This window comes from Homo sapiens, chromosome 9 (assembly GCF_000001405.40).
Source record: "Homo sapiens chromosome 9, GRCh38.p14 Primary Assembly".
NCBI classification, from domain to species: domain Eukaryota; kingdom Metazoa; phylum Chordata; class Mammalia; order Primates; family Hominidae; genus Homo; species Homo sapiens.
In genome coordinates, this window is record NC_000009.12 from 136,968,998 (window position 1) to 136,992,275 (window position 23,278).

Genomic DNA, 23,278 nt, shown 5'->3' on the forward strand with positions numbered 1-23,278 from the left:
GCGGCCTCCCAGGGTCAGCCATCCCCAGGGGCCTCATTACAGGACCAGGGTGGTAAGAAGTCCGCAGCCCCGCACAGCAGCTGTCGAGGGGAGGCAGATGGGCTGAGGGCCCTGGGGGAGTGGGGCCAAGACCTGCTGCACCCAGGAGAGAGGAGGCTTGGAGGACAGGGGTGGGGCTGCATCTGGGAGGTCCTGGCCCAGACTGGACCCGTGGGCAGAGCAGGGTGGGTGCCAGCAGCCTCAGCACAGACACACTCCGTCCCACCCACCACCAGCGCTCTGGAGCCTGCCCCGGGCCAGGGAACAGCTTGGCCTGATCCTGCTGACGCCTCAGGGCAGGACAGGGCAGGGAGGCTCCAGGCGGCCACCCATGCTGGGCACACAGTGGACTCTCGCACGGTGTCTTCTGCCGTCACACCCTGACCCAGGGCTGGCCGGGAGCCTTCGGGGCGACAGCTCCGAGGATGGACGTAGGGGTACGAGGGCAGGGACCCGGGCTTTGGGAATCAGAGCTGAGGCCTGGGGCCTCCCTGGGAGCTGGTGGTCTCTGCGGGTGCCCACCCTCAGCCCACATTTCCACCCCGCTTCCCCTCCCAAGGTTGAGACCAGGGAATGGTGGGCACCAGTGGAAGGCACGCTCCTCAATCTTTGCTGGGCTGAGTCCAAGGAGGGCCCCCTGCCTCCCCAGCCCAGCCTCCCTCTGCCCTGCCTCGCCCCTTAGCCCCGCTGCTGAGGAGGGAGAGGGGCAAAATCTCACCCTTCCTGCACTTGGAGAAAAAGAGGTTGCTTGTCCTGGGGTGGGGGCCAGCAGGGGACCTCGTTACTAGGGGGTCCCAGCCCAGACCCTCACCCACCCCCTTCCCCACCCCCATCCTCACCCCCTGCCAGGCCAGCTGCTGCCCCAGAGTCCTGCCCCCTGCAGCCCTGTGTGGAGCCCTGGGACTCCTGTGGGTGGGCCTCACCCTGCTGGGGACGGTCCAGCCACAGCGCCAGGGCCCCCAGAGGGGCCTGAACTTGCCTTTCCACAAGATCTGTCTCCAGCCTGGCCTCAGAAAGGAGCGGGTGAGTGGCCTCCAGGATGGGGAAGGAGGAAGGAGGGTGCAGCTGGGCCGATGGGCCTGACTGCCACAGTGAGCATGGCCCTCATGGCCCTGGAGAACCCTGCCAGGTGGGAAGAGCTCACGCCCTCTGTGCAGGTGGAGAAAGTGAGGCTCAGGAAGGCTGCCCACCCACTGGCCAGGGTCACCCATCCCTGTCAGATCCGGACTCCTGCCAGAGTCACGGGTGCCAGCCCAGCCTGGAACCCCTGCCTGGGGAGGGGGTCCTGGCCCTGCCCACTGCCAGCCCCTGCAGTTCTGGGGGAGTGGTGCGTCCTGGGGCTGGCGGTCAACACTTTCAGGCCGGAGCGCAGGTCCCAATTCAGGATGTTGGTGGCAGCCGTGGTCATGTCCAGCCTGCTCACCTGAGGCTGGGTGCCCAGAGCCCCTGCCGGGTGATGGGACTGCCCGGGGAGGGGAGACGGAGGGCTGTGGGGTGGAGACCCTTCATACAGACAGGCAGGTGGGTGGACCCCGTGGGTGGAAGGAGGCAGCGCCTGCCTTGAGGGAGCTCACCCACACCCTCAGCACAGCTGTGGGGCCCCTGCTTCTCCCCCGGGGCCTGCAGTTTGGAGGAGGAGCCTGTCCTGAGACCCAGGGGCAGGGGAAGATCAGGGCAGGGTGCAGGGCCCAGGGACATGGTGGCTGTGGCTGGGACATCCCAATTCCATGCATCCAGTGAGAACTTCCACGGGGAGGGGACGTGGTCAGAGGCGGGGACAGGCAGGCTGCCAGGAAGAGCAGCCTCAGGAAGAGTGGGGAGCAGGACCCTCCGGGAGGCCAGGAAGCCTCCCCTCCCCAGCTCATCCGACCTGCCCCTCCCCAAAGCCTTCACCCCAGCCTCTCCCCACCACAACCTCCTCCCACAGGGACCCACCCTGCAAACGCTGGGCCAGGACCCCTGTCCCGGAGAAGCAGCCAGCTCAGAACCCCCTTGGAGGCCGGGAGGGTGAGTCTTCCCTGCCTGACACCCCAAGAAAGGCCCAGAACTGCCCCAGGTTAAGGTCACTCCACATCTGTAATCCCAGCATTTAGGGAGGCCGAGGCAGGAGGATCAACTGGGGCCAAGAGTTCGGGACCAGGCTGGGCAACATGGGGAGAGCCCATCTCTACAAAAATAAAATTGAAAAATTAGCTGGGTGTGGTGGTGCATGCCTGTAGTCCCAGCTACTTGGGAGGCTAAGGAGGGAGGATTGCTTGGGCCCAGGAGGCTGCATTGAGCTGTGACCGTGCCACTGCACTCCAGCCTGGGCGACAAAGCAAGACCCTGACTCGAAAAACATAAATAAATTAAAATGGACACTCCAGGGAAGGTCTTGGTGTGGCCCCAGAGGGGGCATGATCAGCAGCCTGTCCCCAGCAGTAGGGTCCTGAGCCCTGCCTGACCCGCCTGCTCCGTGCAGAAGTGGGGTTGGAAAATGACGAGATGGAGGCTACGCCGAGACCAAGCGCCAGGAGAAGGGACCCAGGCCAAGCTGCTCGGTGAGGCCCTGAGCACGGCGGGAAGGGGCCATGCAGGACCCCCTGAGGGCTGGGCTGGGGAGGGAGGGGTCTCCCCAGGGCTCACCCCCCTTCTTGGCACAGGGCAGGGGAAGGAGCTGGATTTAGACCTGAGGGAGAAATTTATCAGATTTGACCAGATCCTGGGCATCAGCCTTGACCACATTCCCTTCCTGCCCCAGACTGGCCCCGGCAGGCCTTGGGGGTGTGGGGTAGGCAAGCAGAGACCACACTGATGCGGGGAGGTTGGCCCAGAGCCCTGCAGGCCAAAGCCTGGGGCCGGGCAGCAGTGTCCGCCGAGGAGAGGGTGTCTGGTGCCTGAATGACACAACCTGAGAGGCACCAGCCCCAATCCTGTCCGTGCAGCCCAGCGGGGAGGACTGCCCAGGAGACCATAGGGGTCCGGAGGTCAAGGCCAGGTGCCAGAGGGTCCTGGCAGGACCCGGGGTCACTGGAGGCACCCCACGTACACGGCAGGCGGAGGGGACGGCAGTGCCGGAGGAGGGGCTGCAGGGAAGCCCTTGTCAGCCCCCATTTCTGACCCAAGGGCCTTGGCCGGGAAGGCCAAGCTTGAGGCAAGAGGGTTCTGAGCTGGAAGAGGCCAGGCCCCCCAGACGCAGGGGCCCCGTGGGAAGAGGGAGGCCATGAGCTGAGGCCACAGCAGCTGAGGCTCTGAGAGCTGAGAGTGAGCTGGGGCCCTGCCGGAGCCTCGCTACCAACTGCTCCAGGTGTGGGGGACACTGCGGGGCCCAAACCTGGACACACCTGCGGCCTGGAGTGTCCCCCCCACCCAACCCAGGGCCTCTGAGGGTCTCTGCCCAAGCTCCTGGGTCCCCTGTACTGGGCCACCTGCAGCTCCCAAGGCAGCCCTGGGGGCAGGCAGGAGCCCCCGGGTCAGAGGTCGTGCGACCCTGGCCTTGGACCCTTGGGCCTCTGACCAGCACTCCTGCCTCACAGAAGAGCCCGTGGTGAGCCACGAGTGTGACTGCCAGGGGTCCTGGGGGTCCCGGGCCACTCTGGGATCCACGAGGCCCTCCTTCCTCCTGGCCCTGGCACCCCCTCCACCCCTCTCTCTCCTGCAGGTCTCTGCTTCTCCCTCCTCTCACTCTAGCCCCTCCGTGATTCTCTGCCTGGGCCGGCCACCCTCTGTCCTGAGGACGCTGGAGCCTGGCCCGGCCCTTGGCAGCCCCACCCTCACCGCCCATCCCAGCCTCGCTGGTGCCCCCTCCACGTGGGAGGCTCAGCCACACCTGCCCCCACGACCCCATCAGAAATAAACAGTCTGTGCCAGGAGAAGCCGGATCCGACTGTCCTTGAGCACTGGGTGATGGGTGGGCAGGGCCTCGGGGAGCAGCCCAGGTTCCAGGCCCAGGAGGAGCTGAGCTCGGACATTTGTCCTCATCTAACCCCCAGTGGCTGCCTCCCTCCCAGCTGGGTGCTCTCCTGGCCCGTCCCACGCTCTCTGGTGAACAGAGCCAGATTCATCCTCAAACATAGGCCACCCTCCATGGCGCCCAGCAGAAACTGCCCTAGGCTGGAGGGCTGGGACCGTGGGGTGACAGAGGCTGCGGAGGCCTGTGACCAAGGGTCCCTGCCCAGCTCCACAGCACCTGGCAGCCCTTGCCCCTGCTAGGAGCGCCCTTTCCTCACCGCTGGCTCTTCTCAGATCTGTGGCCCCATCCCCCTGGGTTGCCTCAAAGGAACCCCAGAGTGAGAGGCAGGAGCCCCCATCTCAGGGGCGTGGGCCCAGGCTCCCTGTGTGCCACCCCACGTTCCCCCGATGGGAGGCAGGAGTCCCTGAAGATCCAGGCCCAGCCCTGACCGGGGGTGGGCACAGAGGTGGGGAGCAGCCTCTGGGATCGGGTCTCCACCTGTGCCCTGCCGGAGCCAGCCCCTGCGCTGAATGGTACTTCCGGCTTCTGGTCTCTGTGGGGAGCGGTGCCCAGCCTGGTGCTACAGTGACCCAGGGGTCCTTAGGCGAGGCCCTCCCAGGCTTGGCCCCTGCCCAGACCCTGCCCTCCTGGGGAGCTCCCGCCCAGCCCCTAAATGGGTGAGGTGGGGACACTTTAGCCCTGACCTTCCATGGCCGAGCTGGGCGCTTCCTGAAGCCAGACTGGGCCTCAGAGGTCCACTGCACCGGGATCCTGGAGCTGAGCTTCTCGAGGCCAGGGGTGTGGGTGTGGTGTCGGGTGTGGGTGCGGGTGTGGTGTTGGGGGTTGGGCCGCCCCCTCCTCCCGGCCCTGCTACCTTTGGGATGCGGCAGCCTCTGACCAGCCTGCTGGACCCCACATTGGACAGATCGTTCAGCACCCCCAAATTGCCATCTGTCCCCCACAGACAGCCAGCCTAGCCCTGGCTCCAAAGCTGCAGAATTGGCTGAGGCTTGGCCATAACCGTCTTTGGACCCCATGGCCAGCAATGCACATATGAGCCTCAAGTCCCAGGGACATATCTGCTCCCCTATCCTCTGGCTTGTCCCGGGCTGCCCTGTCCTCTGCGCCGTCCCCGGCTGCTGGGCGGGCCTGACCTCCAGGGTGGTGCTGGGAGAGGTGGCCAGAGGCAGCCAGAAAGGGTGAGCGGAGAGGTGGCCGTCCCCCATGTCAGTGAACACCCAAACAGACAGGCACAGAGAGGAGGGCTGGGTGAAGAGTGGGTCCCATGTGCTTTGAGCAGCTCAGAGATGCCCTGAGGAGGGGCTGTCCCACGTGGCCCGTCCACTCAGGCCTCCTTCAATCACAGAGCAGCTCCCTTGACGCAGGGAGGCCTTGGGGAGAATTTCTTGCCCCTAGAGGAGCCCTGAGCTGCCCCCACCGCACCCGGCCCTGGTCTCCCCGGCTACAATCTCAGGGGTGCTCCTGCTCTGCCCCTGACTTGTCCAGAACACTCCACAGCGTCTCAGTGATCCCGGGCACTGCCCTTCCCTATGGAAGATCCTCAGCGGGGCAGCTCTGGCAGGAGTGAGCCTCTGGGGCCGTGAGGCTTGGGTACCTCTGAAAGGTGGGGTGTAGAGGCTGCCCCTCCCCAGTCCCAGGCTGGGGGAGTTGATCCCAGGCTGCAGGTGGGTGGGGCTCACGAGGTCCCCATGAGTTTATTTGAGGCTGGTGGACACTCAGTCGAGCTCAGCTCCCACCAGTCACTGGGACAGCCTCGGCCCTCAAGGGCAAACCATTGGTGGGGATGCTGGACAGGGTCATCACTGCCCCCGGAGGATGCTGGCCGGGGCCCCAGGGTGGAGACAGCTTCCCTCCAGGAAAAGGTTGGGGTCAGTTCTGGGAGCTTAGGCCCAGGCCACCAGGCTTGTCCATGACCTGCCTGGGCCGCAGGCAGGGGGATGGCCTTGGTGACCTCTTAGGGTGGAGGCCAAGTCTTTGCATTTTGTGACTCAAAGAGACTGGTTCCCAGAGAGCAGGGTGGGGCGGCCAGCCTTCTTCCTGCCCAGCCCTCCGCCAGGCTCCACTAAGGTCCTGCCTGGCAGCCAAGCTCAGAGCAAAGGGAAGGGCACAGAGAGTGTGCAGGGTGGTCCTTGTCCCTGCCCAAGCTGCAAGAGGCTCTGCGAAGGTCCCTCCTGCCCCTGTCCACCTTGCACAGTCCTAGCCGGGGGAGGAGGGGAGAAATCTGGCGTGCCAGGAGCTGGCAACTGCCCAGCCCTTCCTGGATGTGGTGAGAGATGAATCTCCAGCCCTCGGGTGGGCCCAGGTGCACCCATGAATCAGGGCTCGTGGGCAGCTCCCACTCACTGGTCCTCACTCAGCCGTGTCTGGGGAGTGTCTCTGACCACCTGCTGGCCATCTTGACCACAGGGACTGAGGAGTCCGTCCTGAACCGAAGCATGATCCTGTTAGCTCTTCCAGCTCTCCAGGCGCCAACGACCATATGGTCTCGGTAACGACTGGTCAGGGAGGAGAAGGGACATGGGACCTGCTGGGCTTTCTGCAGCCCACTAGAAAATGGGGAAGAGGAGGGGCTTGGTCCCTGTTCCAGGCACTGGGTTTGAGGGCTGGACACCCGAGATCCCTGGGAACCCCTCTGGCTATGGGAGGACCCGGCCCCATCAGACTTCAGAGTCCCTCCCTGGCAGGTGACCCAGGCCTGCCCAGACGGAAGCCATTCAGACCCAGAGCCACGTGTCCTGGGTCTCCCTGCCCCGGGCCACCCGCCACCACACCCCAGAGCTTGCTCACCACCGGGAGGCGCTCTTGTCCTGGACCAGCCTAGCCTGGGTTGGGACCTCCAGCCAGGCCAGTCAGCGAGCCACCAGCCCCACCAGAGTGGAATGACAGCCAGGACTCAGCTGGCAGCGGGCAGGAGGCCAGTCTTGTGGTGATATCCCAGCCGCAACTCTCTTCCTGCCCCTCCCCTGTCCTGACGGCAGCCCCCAGCTCTGTAGCTGAGCCAGGCTTGCGGGCCACGCGGGGTCCCGGGTTTAGGCACCCCACCCCTATCTGTTCCAACAGACTCTCCCTCTCAGCCCATGGCACAGATGGCATCTGAGCTAGCAGCACGCTGCTGCTTCAGGCAGGGGTTGATAGGAGGTCCAGGTGGAGGAGTGGGTTCTCAGGACTGCCTTGGCCCCCCTGCACCGCTGCCCTCCTTCTCCCTGCCTCTCAGGTGCCTCCCGGCTCCCTGGGACTCACTCCCTCACCTTGGCCTCTGCCTGGGATGCTACCCGGCCACCCCCACCAGCCCTGACACCAGTGCTGCCCACTAGCCCCTGCTGCTACATAGGCATGCGCCTCCCCCAGTCTGGGCTCCTTGACCCCCGGGCACTGGGGAAGGGGAACAAGGAAGCAGTCCACACCAGCCCACTCCCAGGGCTCGTGCGCCCCCAGCAAGGGATGGGCCACAGAATCCAGGAAGAAGACGGGCTCCGGCCCCCAGTGGTCGCCAGCAGCCCCGTAGAAGCTCACCACCCCACCCCATCCGACTCACTCCTGCTCTCATGTACATTTCCCAGCTCCCCACCCGGGCTCACCTTCAGACCAGCGGCAGCGCTCACCCACCACGCCTGCCAGGGAAGCTCAGTCCCAACAGAATCCAGAGAGGGCCCACCACATGTGCCTGCCTGTGACGGCCTGTGACAGGGCCCCAGCCAGGGCCAACGAGCTGGAGGGGCCCAAGGAGCTGGGTGCAGCGCTGGGGTAACAGGACAGCCCCACGGGGTGCTCCCGAGTCTGGACCAGACTCGGGGTGGGGAGGCCCAGACTCGGCGGGGGGCAGACTTGGGGTGGGGGGATTGCTGGGGGAAGTTGGGGCCTCTGGCAAGGGATAGGGCCTGTGCTCAAGCCCAAAGGTGCCCCAGGCTGAAATGGGCACCCAGGGGTCACTATCAGAGCCCCAACAGCTGGCCATGGGGGAAGCCATGCCCAGCAAACCTGGCCCTCGGGACCCTGCGGGCCAGATCAAGTTTCTCTACCTTGGCCTGAGCTTCTCATCAACACTTCACTTGCTGGGCGTTTCAGGACCAAACTCTCAGGGTGGAAGTGGGGCTTGTGTCCCCTTCTGGGGTGGCAGGGCTCGGAAAGGGAATGATGGTAGGGGCTGTGAGATGTGGGTCCTGGCCCCCAGTGGGAAGTCACCAGAGGCCTCGGAGGCGGGCATGGCTGAGGAACACAGCCCCTGCCCTATCAGGGCCGCTGGGTTGGTGGGCCCTGCCAGCAGGAGGAGGGTGGGCAAGGTCCCTGCCAGCTCTGTCTCTGGGACCAGTGGGCAGGGGCCTCTGCCTCACCCCCACGCTGCCTCAGCTGGGGCAGCAGGCCCAGGCCTCTTGCATAAGCGCCCTGTGGGGGACGAGGCTGCAGCTGTGCCTGGCCACCCCATCCCCCAGCATCACGAGTGTTCAGTGGGCTGTCCCCGGGCCCTGGGTGGAGGCCAAGCCTGGCCCATAAATAGGGGTCTCCTCAGTGCCCTCCGCTCCTCCTGCACACCTCCCTCGCTCTCCCACACCACTGGCACCAGGCCCCGGACACCCGCTCTGCTGCAGGAGAATGGCTACTCATCACACACTGTGGATGGGACTGGCCCTGCTGGGGGTGCTGGGCGACCTGCAGGCAGCACCGGAGGCCCAGGTCTCCGTGCAGCCCAACTTCCAGCAGGACAAGGTGAGGGGCTTTCCTGCGTCATCCCCAAGGGCTACAGGACCCTGTCAGGGGAAGGGCACTTTCCGGCTGGGTCTTCCCCCTGGGAGGAGTGAGCGAAGTCCCGCAGTGCCGGGCAGTGCCGGCCAGGGACTGAGCGGGCGCGCAGGAAGGAGGCTGGGTAGCCGCCCGAGGAGGCTGCCCGCGAGAAGCCCTCCCTGGGCACCGCGTCCCGTCTCCCCTGATGGGCCACGCAGACACCGGGCCACACACGCGCCCACGCCAGCCAGACACGTCCACCCCTGTGGGCACGCGACCCCCAGAGGACACACGAGCGCACGTTCCACACCTGGGTGCCAGGACACGGGCGGGTGGGGCACAGGGATGGCGACAAACACTCCGTGCGCGGTGGGGGTTGGGAGGGACGCGCACCGCACAGACAGCCGGCGACGCGCGCTCTCGCCCGGGAGCTGCTCGGGGAAGCGCCGGAGCGCGGGTCCCCGCGCCGCGCGCCCCTCCCTGGCGTCGAGGAGAACCCCAGCGGTCCGCAGAGCTGAGCCGAAGACCCGCCCCGATCCCCGCCAGGAATGCGACGTCCTCTGCCGCCCGCTGTATGGGCCAGGCGCTCAGCCAGGGCACAGAATCGGGACCGGGGGCGGAGGGGCCGAAGCTGGCTGGTGGGCGGCGTGCGAGGGTGAGGGACTGTCCTCGGGAGGGGCGTGGCCAGACGGGGGTGCTGGGTGTCAGGGGCGTGGCCAGCTTCTGGGGCTGAGGCGTGAGGGGCGGGGCCATCTCCGGGGGAGGGGGAAGTGGGGCGTGGTCATCTCCTGGGGCGGGGCGTGAGGGGCGGGGCCACCTCCCGGGGCGGGGCGGGGGCCTGATGGGCGTGGTCAGCTCCTGGGGCGGGGACGTGAGGGGCGGGGTCAGCTCCTAGGGGGGCATGGGGCGTGAGGGGCGCGGTCAGTTCCCTGGTTGTGGACATGAAGGGCGGGGCCAGCTCTTGGGGCGGGGTCGTGAGGGGCGTGGTCAGCTCCTGGGGCGGGGATGTGAGGGGCGGGGTCATCTCCTGGGGCGGGGATGTGAGGGGCGTGGTCAGCTCCTGGGGCGGAGATGTGAGGGGCGGGGTCATCTCCTGGGGCGGGGATTGAGGGGCGGGGGTCAGTTCCTGGGGCGGGGCGTGAGGGGCGTGGCTGCTCGGGGGATTGGGCGTGGGGGCGGGGCCGGGTTGGAGACCGGAGGAGTAGACGGCAGAGGCGCCCCCGCAGGTAGGCGCAGGTGGGTCCGGAGGGTCCTGGCCGACGCGGGTGGGGGTCGCTCGCCGCAGTTCCTGGGGCGCTGGTTCAGCGCGGGCCTCGCCTCCAACTCGAGCTGGCTCCGGGAGAAGAAGGCGGCGTTGTCCATGTGCAAGTCTGTGGTGGCCCCTGCCACGGATGGTGGCCTCAACCTGACCTCCACCTTCCTCAGGTGGGACAGCGGGCAGGTGGGTTTCTGGGACGGAGAGGTCCAGGGACACCCTCGGGCCTAACCCCTGACCCTGAGGTCACCCACCTACAGGAAAAACCAGTGTGAGACCCGAACCATGCTGCTGCAGCCCGCGGGGTCCCTCGGCTCCTACAGCTACCGGAGTCCCCGTGAGTGGGGCCTCCACCGGCCCCCTGGGCCCAGCCTGGGGGCGACACTTGCCGGGACGACTCTGGGCCAGCCCCCTGCCGCGGAGATCCATGGGGTGGGAGGTGATGGCTGCCCCACCAGCGTCAGAGGCAAAGGCCAGGCCTGGGCGTGACTACCCATGCACAAGTGTTAGGGACAGAGAGACCCTTCCTCCAGGGGGTTGGATCCTCTCTGGAGCCCACCATTGTCTTGTCAGGCCCCTTCCCTGCCCTCTGGAGTTTTCCCCACATAAGCAGCCCCCCAAGGCCCCTCCATATGCCTCCTCCCAATTCTCCTCCCCAGGACCCAGGGGTTTCCTCACTCCCACCTGGGGAATGGCTCCCACGGGGAAACCTCTTCACTTCCGGTTCTGGCAGCGACTTCTGCGGCTGCACCAGGAATCCTGGTTTTCTGAGCCTGGCTCCCCCAGATTCTGGTTTGGGGACAGGGTTCACAGGCTGTGCAGGCGAGAGCAGGGCACTGGCTGGAGAGCAGCCGGGTGGGGGAGCATCCCGGGCCAGCCGAGGGGCTGAGTGCCCCCAAAGCCCACAGGTGCACCCCTTCCCTGAAGCAGAGGTGAGGTTTGGGGGGCTGAGTCCCCGACAGGGTTGTCTCTTGGGTTCCCAGACTGGGGCAGCACCTACTCCGTGTCAGTGGTGGAGACCGACTACGACCAGTACGCGCTGCTGTACAGCCAGGGCAGCAAGGGCCCTGGCGAGGACTTCCGCATGGCCACCCTCTACAGTACGTGCCCCGTGGACGCCGCCCACACGCAGGCCTGACCAGAGGGGGCTCCCCAAGACCCAGGGCAGGGCACACAGCATCCCCCCCGCTGAGGCCAGCTCCGTCTCCACCCTGTCCCAGGCCGAACCCAGACCCCCAGGGCTGAGTTAAAGGAGAAATTCACCGCCTTCTGCAAGGCCCAGGGCTTCACAGAGGATACCATTGTCTTCCTGCCCCAAACCGGTGAGGGGTCCTAATCTGATGGGGAGAGGATCAAGGTCAGATTAGAGGCAGGCAGGCAGTCTCCTGACTGGGGGAGGCAGAGGGGAGGAGGTGGCCCCGCCCTGCTCGAGGCCTGGGCCAGGGACAGAGGGGGTGAGTGTTCAAGTCAGAACCTCCCTCCCGCAGCCCCTTCATGAGGAGCCCCCTCCATGGGGGACATGGAGACCAGGCGCCCACTCTGTGCCAGGCCCCAGCAGCTCCCAGGATGTGGGGCTTCAGCCTGGTGGGGGGCATAGGGTAGAGGGTGCCCATGGGGGATACAGGGGAACCAACCATACTGGGCTCAGGCACAGCCTCCTAGGGGTGGACAGCCTGCTCTTGGCAGAGGTGGAGAAAGACCCTCTCTTTGTTTCCAGTGCCCAGGGAGAGGTGGGAGGTGATGGGGGATCTGTGCAGTTTGGGGGCTCAGTCAAGACGAGCTCTGCGTTACGGGAGGAACAGGAAGCCCAGTGGGAAAATTGGCCTAAGTCTGGGGTTCTGACGACAGCCCCTGGCTTCTTTCTTGGCAGATAAGTGCATGACGGAACAATAGGTGAGCCACTCCATTCATTCATTCATTCATTCATTCATTCATTCATTCAACACACATCCACCCAACCCACTCTGCGATGGGATGGATCAGGGCCCCAGGACAGCCTGGTGCTGCAGACCCATCCTTCCCGATGGCTGCAGTCCAGGGCCGGGCGGGAGACACTGGGGCTGCCCACATTGATGGGTGCACAGGTGTGAGGCTCAGAAGGAAAACCTGTCCCAGTGGCTGGAACAGGGCTGACTCCTGAAGGCTCATGGTTGGGGGGTGCAGGTGCGAGGCCCCAGGCAGACAAGGCCAAGGGGCTATACCACAGGGACCACCTGGCAGCAAGGGTGTCTGGCTCCTGGGCTAGGAGGAAACCAGGGTGGGGGAGACAGGATGGGAGGGAACAGGGGATGGAAGGGGAGGGCCAAGGACGCTACATGGATGCCGTGGGACAGCTCGGAGAGCAGGCTCAGGGCGGATTCACCCACCACCCCCAGGAGGGAGGCCTAGGCTGGAGCTGGAGTCTGTGGACCCTGGGGCTGGGAAGGGTGGAGTCTGTAGACCCTGGGGCAGCGGGGATCCAAGCCCCAGGGATGGATCTTGCTCTCTCAGCGGGGCTCAGTGGGGCTGGGGGCAGAGAAAAGTCCCCGTAGCCCGCACCTGCTCCATCGACTGGAGTGGAGGTGGGCTGGGGTAGACTGCAGTCCTCCATCCTAGCCTTTCGGTCACACCCCTCAGGACTCCCCAGGGCTGAAGCTGGGATCCCGGCCAGCCAGGTGACCCCCACGCTCTGGATGTCTCTGCTCTGTTCCTTCCCCGAGCCCCTGCCCCGGCTCCCCGCCAAAGCAACCCTGCCCACTCAGGCTTCATCCTGCACAATAAACTCCGGAAGCAAGTCAGTAGAGCTGGCTCCTGGCTGTCTGCGCTGTCATCACCCGTCCTGGGCCTGGCCCTGGCCACCCGGACCTCCCCCTCTAAAATCTCAGCCTGACGTCAACAAAGGAACAGGCCCTCTAGTGTTTGCTCCCAGTGGGGTCTTGAGTCAGGACAGCTAGGAGGGGGTGTCCCTCACTGTCTCCCACCCACCCCACACAGTCGTGTGCCCCTGCCCCACAGCCCCACACGTCGAGCCATACCCCCTCAGCTGCCACTGCCACCAGGCCGGTGCTGAGCTGGGGGTCAGTGACTCAGCTAATCCCTTAGGCAGGTGCCCTGCACCCCCAACGCCACCCTGTCACCCCCTCAGCAGTAAAGGCCTGAGGCTCGAGGCCCCAGAGGAGCTTTGGACCTGTTGGGTATCTTGAGGTGTGGGATTAACGCACTGAGATTGGGCAGAGATAAGGGTTTCAGGGGACAAAAAGAAACATTTGTTTGAAACATGCCAGAGTGTCTCCACCCCGCATCAGGACAGACTGACAGAGTGGGCTGGGGACAGGCTACCCCATATCCCTTCTGGCTCCCTGTGCGCCCCCTGCCCTCTGACCTGGGCCTCCAGATCACAGCCTTGTCCACTCACCAGAGCCCTGGCACCACGGCCACACCATGCCCGGCCAGTGCCCTGCCCAACCCTGCTCCCTTCCAGATTCCCACCCAGGCAGCCATTCTCAGGTACACAATGTGCAGGACTCACTGTGACCTGCCCACCAGGCCCCCCCGAGGCAGACCCTGCAGAGGCACCAAGCATTTTGAGGCTCGGAGGTGAGGGTGAGCTTCTGGGTGGCCTTCCCGGAGAAGGGGGCTTAGGGCTGTGCCTGAGCTCAAGGTAGGGGGGATTCCAACATCCCAGAGGGGCTGCAGAAGGCCGAAGAGGCAGGATGGGTGAGCTGCAGGCCCCCTAGCCCAGAGGCCCGTCAGAACTACCCTCAGCTGCCAGGCATCCGGCCCCACCCCGGAGGAAAGGCAACGGATGGCTGGGGTTGGGTGGAGGGAGCCAGGCCAGAGCGCTGCAGGGTGCAACTTGATCAGAAGCCTGTCACAGTGGGTGCAGTCCCAGGCCAGCCGCCCCAGGGCACCTCAGGGGCGTAAAGCCTACAGAGGAGCCACCTCAGCTCTGCCCTGCTCCCGTGTCCGGAGGAGATGCCATCTTGCTGCATGATGCTTCGGGCTCTGCTGATCAGTTCCCTCCTTGCCCTGCTCTGGGCATCCCCAGGCCAGGCCCAGGTCCCCATCCAGGCCAACTTTGATGCCAGCCAGGTGTGCCCAGCCCTGTTTCCTCCTCATCTCCAATGAGTCCTCCCGGCTTTGGTGCTGCACCCCGGGTCCCTGTCCACACCCTCTTTGATCCAGGCTCAGCAGGGCTAGGGGCAGGGGAAACCCCCACCTCACCCGCTCCGTCTGACTGGAGTAGGGGTTGGCTGGGGAAGACTGCAGCCTCCATCCTACCTTTTCAGTTGCATCCCCCAACAATCCCCAGGGCCCAAAATAGGGACAAGTTGGTTGCCTGTGCCTCACTGTCCCCCACCCACCCCACAAAGACCTGTGACCTTGCCACAGCCCCACCCATCCAGCCGTACCCCCTGGGTGCCAGCTGCAGACAGGCCGGTGCTGGGCTGGTGGGGGCCAGTTGCTCATGTACTGAGGCCCCCCTCCCTCAGTTCTGCATCGGGGTCGAGATGTGTACAGCAGCCCCTGCCGTGGCCAGGAAGCAGCTGTGTCGGGGCAGAATGTGGTGGGCTCAGGCCCAGGGCACAGGGGCGGCCTCCCAGCCTTCCCTGCACTTGCCCTGCAGTTCCAGGGCACCTGGTACATGGTCGGGGTGGTGTCAGATGACCAGGACTTCCTGGACTCCAAGGACACCATGAAGATGGCTGTGGTCTTAGTGACCCCCTTGGGGAATGGTGACCTGGCCCTCAAGTTTGGATACCCCACGTAAGTGACCACACGAGCCCATCAGACTCAGCCTCAGAGGATGGCCAGCATGAGGCCACATGAAGGTCCAGAGGGACCATGGTGTCCCCAGCACATTGAGGTCAGACCACGGGTCCTCGACGGCTCTGTGCGGCAGAGCCCCAGATGGCAGCCACACGGAGTCCAGAGGGACCCAGGCCCTGGAGGAAGCACTGCCTGAGGCCTGGTGTTGAGAAAAGTGTCTGCATGTCTGTGTCTGTGTGTGTATCACTGTATGTGGCTGTGTCTCTGTGTATGTGTGTCTATTTCTGCATGTGTGTGTGTCTGTGTGTGCGTGTGTATGCATGTGTGTCTTTGTAGATGTGTACCTCTGAGTGTGTATGTGTGTATCACTGTATGCGTCTGTGTGTCTGTGTGTCTGTGTATCTGTGTCTGGCTGTGTGTGTCTATCTCTGTGTGTGTCTTGTGTGCGTGTCTATGTGTGTGTCTGTCAGTGTGTCTGTGTCTGTGTCTATCTCCGTGTGTGTGCATGTGTGTATGTGTGTGTCTTCTGTGTGTCTGTGTCTGGAAGGGGGACCTGGAGGCCCTGCATTCTAGGCTGTGTGCCTGTGAACAGGTACTTAATACCCACCCCACCCCCAGCAGGAGTGTCCCCACCTCTAAGGTCATCCTAAAGTCCCATGTCCTCTAAGGATTGTGAGGGTGAACAGGGGACCCTGGGCTCAGAGACAGCAAGGTAGGCTCTAGGCCTGGGCGCTGGGCAGGGGTGGCCACTCAGGGGATTGGGGCTCTTTCTCCCCAGGCCCCATGGCGGGTGCCAGAAAATGGACACGACCTTCACCGAGGGTGCTGTACCGGGGCAGTTCAGCAACCCAGGTGAGGTGGGGCAGCAGGCAGGGCTGTGGCGTGGGGGCCCTGGAGGCTGCATGGACTGCTGGATTGGCACCTGGGGCCGGGGCGTGAGGGGTGCCACGCTCGGGGGGGAGGTGCCCTGGGCCTGGGGTCAGCGGCTCTCGCTCCTCCAGCCATGGCCCTGAGTGACATCCGAGTGGCCTTCTCCGACTACCAGCACTTTGCCTTGCTGTACTTGGAGATGCGGAAAGGGGGCCTGCGGAACCAGTGGCTGCAGCTCTACGGTGGGCGGGCTGCGGGGCGGAGACCCAGACACCCCCGCTTCGGGTCTGGGATGTCACCCCTGTGCCTGCACCAGCCCTTTCTGCACGCGGAAGGTGGAACCGCTGGCTCCTGGTGTCTGTGGCCGCGGGTCCCGGCCCCTCCCTGCCCCTCTCTCCCTCTCTTCGCCCCTCCAGCCCCTTCCCTTTAGCTTACCCGCCCTCCCCACCTTCAGCTCGAGCGCCCGAGCTGTTTCCCGAAGGCGCCCAGAAGATGCAGCTACTGGCGCCCCAAGTGGGCCTGAGCCCCAGCCAGGGCGTCCTGCTGCCGAAGTCGGGTGAGCGGTGCCGGCAGCCCTGCTGGGAGGGCCAGGCCCCGGGTCACACCCCTGCTGGAAGGGCCAGGCCCTGGTCACTCCACTGATCTCAGATTCGGGACAGAAGTGCCCGGGGCAGACCCAGCCTGTCTGGGTCGGGGGAGGGCGAGACGTTGCCCAGGCCGGTGTTCCCAGGAGGAGATCGCCTTGGGGCAGGTCGGGGGCCTCCGTCCCAGGGAAGGGGGCGCGGGGTGGCGCCTCAGGCTCGATCTCTCTGCAGACCAGTGTGCGGGCGCGCTCTCCCGGGTGAGTAGACCATGGCCATGCGGAGCCGCGGACCATGGGCCCTCCCAGCTCGGTGGGCTGCACCGCGGGGCCCTCTACCTTCGGGGCAGCTAGGGACGACAGCGGGGGTGATGGGGCACCCGGGCGGATCCGAGCCGCAGCAGCCTGGGGAACCGCGGGGCTGCGCGTCGGGAGGGGGCGGAGGCAGGGGACGCCGCCCACCTGCTCCTTGTTTTGCAGTGAGGGGTCCAGCCCCTGAGTGCCCGCAGGGGTCAGCTGCTCCGTGCGCCCAGCCCTGCCCAAAGAGCCCCCTCCCTCCACACCCTGGCCCCAAGCGCAATAAACACCCTGAATGCCTGTGGCGCTGTGCGTTTCTTGGGGGCAGGGAGGGGTGGCGGGGGGGCGGCCAGGTACATGGGCGCCCTGGGGGAGGGGCCGGGTCACCCCCTGTTGCCCCTCTGGGTAGGCGTTAGCCCAGGAGGGACCGAGCCTCGGCTCCGTGGCAGGGAGGTTCCTCAGGACGGGCCCCAGCCCCAGCTCTGGGACTTTTCTACCTCCGCACGGACCCAGACCCCCAGACTGGGGGCGCCGGGAGGGCGGGACACGGACACCACGCGGCGCGCGCCCCAGGCTTCAGCGGACACCGCCGCGCGACGTGGCCTTCCGGGTCCTCCCAAGCGGCTGCCCCAGTCAGTGTCGGCGGCTTCCATCCCCAGGCGCCCCTCCGGGTCCCCCAGCTCCCCAGCCCCTGACTCCTGGCTCCAGGACCCGCCCCAGAGGCCTGGCTGTTCCGGAGACCAACGAAGCGCTCCCAACTCTGACCCAGGGCCTGTCCACGGAGAGTGGAGGGCGAGGAGGACAGGAGGAGCCGCATAAAACTCTGCCCTGCCTGGAGTCTATGTAGGACAGTGTTGTCTTTTACAGACAAGTCTCGAAGAATTTGAAGGAAAATAGCCTACTAGCTGTAATGTACCTAGTTCAGCAAAATAATAATAAAAATACTGGTTGCAAATCTGTGAATATTTGGATAGTGTTTAATCTGGGTGATGGGTCTACGGGGTGCAGTATGCTCTGATTTCTCCTTCTCAGTTGGTCAGAGTTTTGTTTGTTTGTTTTTTTGAGATGGAGTCTCGCTCTGTCGCCCAAGCTGGAGTGCAGTGGTGCGATCTCGGCTCACTGCAAGCTCCACCTGCCAGGTTCAAGTGATTCTTCTGCCTCAGCCTCCCAAGTAGCTGGGATTACAGGTGATCGCCACCACGCCCTGCTAATTTTTGTATTTTTAGTAGAGACAGGTTTTGCCATGTTGGCCAGGCTGGTCTCAAACTCCTGACCTCAAGCGATCCACCCACCTTGGCCTCCCAAAGTGCTGGGATTACGGGCGTGAGCCACTGGGCCCAGCCCAGAAAATTTGTTATTAAAAAACACCACTCGGGCCGGGCCCAGCACTTTGGGAAGCTGAGGCGGGCGGATCATGAGGTCAGGATATCGAGACCATCCTGGCTGACACGGTGAAACCCCGTCTCTACTAAAAATACAAAAAATCAGCCGGGTGTGGTGGCGGGCGCCTGTAGTCCCAGCTACTCGGGAGGCTGAGGCAGGAGAATGGCGTGAACCTGGGAGACGGAGCTTGCAGTGAGCCAAGATTGTGCCACTGCACTCCAGCCTGGGCCACAGAGCGAGACTCTGCCTCAGAAAAAAAACAAAACAAAACAAAAAAACACCACTCGGCGGAGCACAGTGGCTCTGCATCCCCCCTGCATTCCCAGGAAGATTCCGAGCCGGGAAATGCAGGTTGCCCTCCACAGCCTCAGGGATGCCCTTTCCTTCCTTCCAGGGTGGGGCAGCCTCTGGGGGTGGCTGTGGGTCCAGCTGTGGTCAGCCCCCAATCCCTTGCAGACGCATCGAGTCCCTCACCTCCCACGCTCAGCCCTTTCTCCACCTAGAAGCCCAGGGGATGGATTCACAAGATGTGTCAGATCAGGCCCCCCTGCTCAGCACCCCACAGTGGGTCCCATTGCACTGAGAGTAAAGGCCTAAGTCTTTTTTTTTGGAACGAAGTTTCGCTCTTGTTGCTCAGGCTGGAGTGCAGTGGCGCGATCTTGGCTCACTGCAACCTCTGCCTCCCGGGTTCAAGCGATTCTCCTGCCTCAGCCTCCTGAGTAGCTGGGATTATAGGTGCCCGCCACCACGCCCAGCTAATTTTTGTATATTTAGTAGAGACGGGGTTTCACCATGTTGACCAGGTTGGTCTTGAACTTCTGACCTCAGGTGATCCACCCACCTCGGCCTCCCAAAGTGCTGGGATTACAGCCGTGAACCGCCATGCCCGGCCTCAGGCCTAAGTCTTGATGGTGGCCAACAAGGTCTTCTCTTTTAGGCTTTCCTTTGACCCACCATCCACTCCCCTCCCTCCGTCCTGCTGCCAGCCCCTCACGTGTCTCAGGGCCTTTGCCCAGGTCACCCCTGCCTGGACTGCCCTTCTCCCAGTGCCACTCAGTGCACTCACTCCCGTCTCTGAAGTCTTGCTCAAATACCTCCCTTGGTTGTTGACCTCTGCTACCCCAAAACTTGACTGGCCCCCACTCCCCTAGAGCTCGTTCTCCGGACCTTTTGCTCCTCTTTTTGGCCCAGCTTCCAGGTGCTCTATGCCTTGGGAAAGGTCAGCCCTTTCCCTCCCCTGTTCTGCCTCCATCACCGACTTCAAGTGTGTGCGTGGGGACTTTGTAATCCCTCTCCTTCTGCTTGCAAAGCTCCACTAACCTTATATCTCATACACTGTATTAATGTATCCTACATTAAAGAAAATTGCTCCCATGGCTGGGTGCAGTGGCTCATGCCTGTAATCTCAGAGCTTTGAGAGGCCGAGGCAGGCGGATCACCTGAGGTAGGAGGTCGGGAGTTCGAGACCAGCCTGACCAACATGGAGAAACCCTGTCTCTACTAAAAAATACAAAAATTAGCCAGGTGTGGTGGTGGGCATCTGTAGTCCCAGCTACTCGGGAGGCTGAGGCAGGAGAATCGCTTGAACCTGGAAGGCAGAGGTTGCGGTGAGCCGAGATCGCACCACTGCACTCCAGCCTGGGCGACAGAGCGAAACTCCGTCTCAAAAAAAAAAAAAAAAAAAAAGTATAAAAAAGTATCTCAGAGAAGGACGTGGTGGAAGCCAGTGGAAAAGCTGCTGCCAGTAGATGAAGCTGGCCCGATGTGAGCCACGAAACAGAACATGACACCAGGGTGTGAGCCAAAGTGTAAAATAAACACCTGAGGTCCACACGGACCCAGCCTGAGGCTAGTTAAATGAAGGTTTTGCAGTTTTCTCGTCATGTTTTGGAACTAATCTTTGTTTCTGGTCTTGTGTCAGTTCCTACAGCTGCCACAAATTATCACAAACTTGTAGCTTGAAGCCAGAGTTCAAAATCAGTTTAATAGGGTCGAGGTATCAGCCGGGCTGTGCTCCCTCCGAGGGCTCTAGGGGAGAAACCTTCCTTGCCTCTTCTAGCTTCTTTGTCTTCTTTTTTTGTTGTTGTTGAGACAGAGTCTTGCTCTGATGTCCAGGCCAGAGTACTATGGCGCGATCAGATCACTGAAGCCTTGAACTCCTGGGCTCAAGCAGTCCTCCTGCCTCAGCCTCCTAAGTAGCTGGGACTACAGGCATGCATCGCTATGCCTGGCTAATGTTTTCTTTTTAGAGATGGGTCTTGCTGTCTTGCTCAGGCTGGCCTTGAACTCCTGGCCTCAAGCAGTCCTCCCACTCTGAACTCCCAAAGCACTGGGATTGCAGGCATGAGCCACTGGGCCTGGCCTCTTCTGGTGGGATACCCTACCTTGTTTCCACCTGAGTGACCCTCTCCTGGCAGAGAGAGAGCCGGACACACTCCATTTTAGTTTCTTCACCTGCGGCCCCCTTTCACCTTCCTCCCTGAAGGCATAGCTAGTGTAAACTGACTCAAAGCACGTCCAGGAATGCACCTACTGATAAGACATTGAGGCAAGCTGCACCAGCAGCTCCTGGGGACACGCGTGGTGGATGGCACCCAAAACCCCTGCATTTATCTCTTTGTGATAGTTTAAGCCTCTGCACCTGGAACTGTTTATTTTTTGTAACTGCATTTGTAACCAATTAATTTTTTTAACTTTTTGCCAGTTCTGCTTCCGTAAAAATTGCTTCAGCTAAAATCCCCCCTCCCCTATTTAGACCACGGTATAAAAACAAAACTAGCCCCTTCCTCGGGGCCGAGAGAATTTTGAGCGTTAGCTGCCTCTCAGTCGCGGCTAATAACGGACTCTTTAATTTGTCTCAAAGTGTGGCGTTTCTGTATAACTCGCTTGGTCACAACACTGGCTTCTGATAGCAGCCTGTAATCCTTGGCTTGTGGGCTGCATCGCTCCAGTTCCTCCCTCCATGCCATGCTGCCTTCTTTTCTGTCTCAAAGCTTCCTCTGCCTCACTTTTAAAAGGCCCTTGAGATGGCACTGAGGGCCTCCCTGGGCAATCCAGGATAATCACCCCATCTCAAGGGAATATCTGCAAACACTCCTTTCTTTTCTTTCCTTTTTTTGGGGGGAAGGGGAGACAGGATCTCACTCTGTTGCCCAGGCTGGAATGCAGTGCCCAGCATCTTCCATAGACAATAGCATTCACAGGTCCCAGGGATTAGGGCCTGATATCTGGGGCCTGCTACAGCCAGCATCTCAGAGTTCACATGACAAAGAAGAGGCCCCCCAGTCCTCTCCAAATCTGCCCCACCCCAGTCATCTTGGGGATGAATCTCCCCTTTCCACTCTTCCCAAATGCCAGGGCCATCCTTGATTGTTCTTTGTCTCCTCCTCCCTCCACCTCCAGTCCGAGCCCATGGTCCACCCCTCTCCTCTGCAGCCCCCGTCCTCTCTCCTCACAGCACAGAATACGGACTTCACACACATAAGTCAGACGTGCCACTTCCCATCCACCCCTGCTTAAACCTCCAACAGCCACCACCCCCCATTCATTCATTCACAATGTTTATTCAGTGTCTGTATGTGCCAGCCATTGTGTAAGCGCTGAAGAGACGGATACACTGGCAGGTAAAACAGACAGAAATCCCTGCCCTCATGGACCTCCTGGGGTGATGGACAATAAGCAGGGTAAATAAGTGTATTGGTGGTCACTTACTGCAGAGTGACAGGTTACCCCAAATGCAGCTGCTTAACCAGCAGGCATGCATTATCTCCCAGTGTCAGCCAGGCAGGACTCTGGGCCTTTGACACAAAGTTTCAGGAGGCTGTGGTCAAGCTGCCGGCCGATGATGTGGTCTCATGGGAAGGCTCAGCTGGGGCGTCAGCTTCCCGGTTCCCTTGCTGGCCATGGTCATCCCCTTAGGGCTGCCTCATGTCACACCCAGCAATTCAAGAGCAATTTTGTCCTATTCTAGTTGCCAGAAGCAAGTCATTAATAAAGTCCAGCCCAAGGGGAGGGGAGTGCAGAAAAGTCTAAACCCAGGAGGGTATAACAGGGAGCTAGCTGCCAGAATAAAGCAAGCCAAAGTGTACTTTCTACAGTGAGAAGTGTGAAAAATAGGGAAATGACAGGAGAGAGGGATGTGAGAGCTGGGCAGCATGCTGCAATGTCAGAACAACACCAGGGAAGGTCTCACTAAAGTGACTTTTGAGTAAAGACCTGAAGGAAGCATGTGAGTCTGGGGAAAGGATGTGCCAGGCAGAAACAGCAGCATGTGCAGAGGCCCAGGGGGCAGGAGCCAGGACTGGGAGTGAACTGGGAAGCAGGAGGAGGTGAGGCAGGCTTGCTGTGGGAGCACTCCGATATGGAAGCGTAGCTTACAGACCCACTGGCCCTCCCCACAGCACCATGCTGCCAACCTGGCCTTCTTGCCGAGCCTTGAACAGAACCATTATTTATGTGGCCAGGCCTCCGCCTGGGATCTCCCTGTCCCTGGTGGGAGCCATCCTCTTCCTCCTGCCCTCATAGCACCCGCTGCAGTTTCTCCTGGCGCTTGGCCCTGCCTGAGAGTGTGGTGTCTCTCCTATTGGATCCTAGAAGCTCCAGGGAGTCAGAGACCTTGTCTGTTGATCGATATCCAGGCCTAGGACAACAGGCACGTAGGAGGAGCTGGAGGAATACCATGCGCGGGACAGAGAGCGCAGAAGCCTTCTTCCCTGGAGATCGCTCTGTACTGTGACTTCTTTTTTTGTTTGTTTGAGACAGAGTCTCGCTCTGTTGCCCAGGCTGGAATGCAGTGGCGCGATCTCGGCTCACTGCAACCTCCACCTCCCTGGTTCAAGCAATTCCCCTGCCTCACAGGCGTGCGCCACCACACCTGGCTAATTTTTTTGTATTTTTAGTAGAGACGGGGTTTCACCATGTTGGCCAGACTGGTCTCGAACTCCTGACCTCAGGCAATCTGCCCGCCTCGGCCTCCCAAAGTGCTGGGATTACAGGCGTGAGTCACCTTGCCGGACCAACCGTAACTTCTTACGATTAGAGTTAGGAAGCTTCCGGTTTGTGTGTGAAGACGATGGAAGGGCGGGGCTCCAGGATGTATCCGCAGAGCCACGGAGGGAACCTGGACTCGGCTGGACTTGGAGCCGGGGCGGGGGCGGGAGGGGGCGAGGTTCGAGTGGGGCTGCTCGCGGGCGCGAGGGCCAGAGCCCGGGATCGCGCCGTGGAGCCCACGACCGGCGAGGCCAGCGCTGGGGGCAGGGCCTCTGGATCCCTGACCCAGGACGCCCTGCTCCGGCCCGCCCCGCGCACTAAACTCGGCCTCTAGTCGCCTGAAGCCCGCGCGGGTACCGGGTCCGCGCGGCCCGGCCTGTGCCTTTAGCCCCGCCCCGAATCCCCCCACCCTCATAACCCCGCCCCTAACCCCGCCTCCACACAC

At 62.6% G+C, this 23,278-nt stretch overlaps 2 protein-coding genes, 1 long non-coding RNA gene and 1 other non-coding gene across 8 annotated transcripts, besides 5 other annotated features; all 4 read left to right on the forward strand.

The window, feature by feature from the left end:
• LINC02692 (long intergenic non-protein coding RNA 2692) lies at positions 415–3,887 on the forward strand. The gene is made up of 5 exons (NR_157392.1): positions 415–476; positions 889–1,062; positions 1,967–2,046; positions 2,501–2,579; positions 3,680–3,887. It is a non-coding gene; the product is annotated as a long intergenic non-protein coding RNA 2692 (long non-coding RNA).
• A 2,193-nt stretch (positions 3,888–6,080) lies between these two features.
• Positions 6,081–7,796, forward strand: LOC124902312 (uncharacterized). Of its 5 annotated transcripts, none has more exons than XR_007061870.1 (4): positions 6,081–6,257; positions 6,398–6,479; positions 6,676–6,917; positions 7,552–7,795. It is a non-coding gene; the product is annotated as an uncharacterized LOC124902312 (transcript). The 5 variants fall into 5 exon arrangements; XR_007061871.1 differs by having other exon boundaries at positions 6,676–6,914; XR_007061869.1 differs by lacking the exon at positions 6,676–6,917 and having other exon boundaries at positions 7,552–7,796.
• Positions 7,797–8,506: 710 nt separating this feature from the next.
• PTGDS (prostaglandin D2 synthase) lies at positions 8,507–12,745 on the forward strand. Its single transcript, NM_000954.6, has 7 exons — positions 8,507–8,695; positions 9,996–10,135; positions 10,226–10,302; positions 10,949–11,065; positions 11,186–11,287; positions 11,836–11,858; positions 12,582–12,745. The coding sequence occupies exons 1-6, from the start codon at positions 8,582–8,584 to the stop codon at positions 11,856–11,858; spliced, it is 573 nt and encodes a 190-aa protein (NP_000945.3). The 5' UTR covers positions 8,507–8,581; the 3' UTR covers positions 12,582–12,745.
• Positions 9,567–10,546: an enhancer, noted in NCBI's record as "H3K27ac-H3K4me1 hESC enhancer chr9:139873016-139873995 (GRCh37/hg19 assembly coordinates)". NCBI's record gives its function as "activates a minimal SCP1, AML or CMV promoter by ChIP-STARR-seq in primed H9 embryonic stem cells {active_cell/tissue: H9 hESC(primed)}" and the evidence as "EXISTENCE:reporter gene assay evidence [ECO:0000049][PMID:30033119]".
• A 1,250-nt stretch (positions 12,746–13,995) lies between the features above and the next one.
• LCNL1 (lipocalin like 1) lies at positions 13,996–16,761 on the forward strand. The gene is made up of 3 exons (NM_207510.4): positions 13,996–14,711; positions 15,493–15,566; positions 15,716–16,761. The coding sequence occupies exons 1-3, from the start codon at positions 14,590–14,592 to the stop codon at positions 16,012–16,014; spliced, it is 495 nt and encodes a 164-aa protein (NP_997393.3). The 5' UTR covers positions 13,996–14,589; the 3' UTR covers positions 16,015–16,761.
• Positions 15,334–15,891: an enhancer, noted in NCBI's record as "H3K27ac-H3K4me1 hESC enhancer chr9:139878783-139879340 (GRCh37/hg19 assembly coordinates)". NCBI's record gives its function as "activates a minimal SCP1, AML or CMV promoter by ChIP-STARR-seq in primed H9 embryonic stem cells {active_cell/tissue: H9 hESC(primed)}" and the evidence as "EXISTENCE:reporter gene assay evidence [ECO:0000049][PMID:30033119]".
• Positions 15,892–16,447: an enhancer, noted in NCBI's record as "H3K27ac-H3K4me1 hESC enhancer chr9:139879341-139879896 (GRCh37/hg19 assembly coordinates)". NCBI's record gives its function as "activates a minimal SCP1, AML or CMV promoter by ChIP-STARR-seq in primed H9 embryonic stem cells {active_cell/tissue: H9 hESC(primed)}" and the evidence as "EXISTENCE:reporter gene assay evidence [ECO:0000049][PMID:30033119]".
• Positions 21,240–21,534: a silencer, noted in NCBI's record as "tiled region #3127; K562 Repressive non-DNase unmatched - State 23:Low". NCBI's record gives its function as "represses a minimal TATA promoter and a strong SV40 promoter by Sharpr-MPRA in K562 cells {active_cell/tissue: K562}" and the evidence as "EXISTENCE:reporter gene assay evidence [ECO:0000049][PMID:27701403]".
• Positions 22,981–23,270: a silencer, noted in NCBI's record as "silent region_20564". NCBI's record gives its function as "represses an Ori minimal core promoter by ATAC-STARR-seq in GM12878 lymphoblastoid cells {active_cell/tissue: GM12878}" and the evidence as "EXISTENCE:reporter gene assay evidence [ECO:0000049][PMID:35858748]".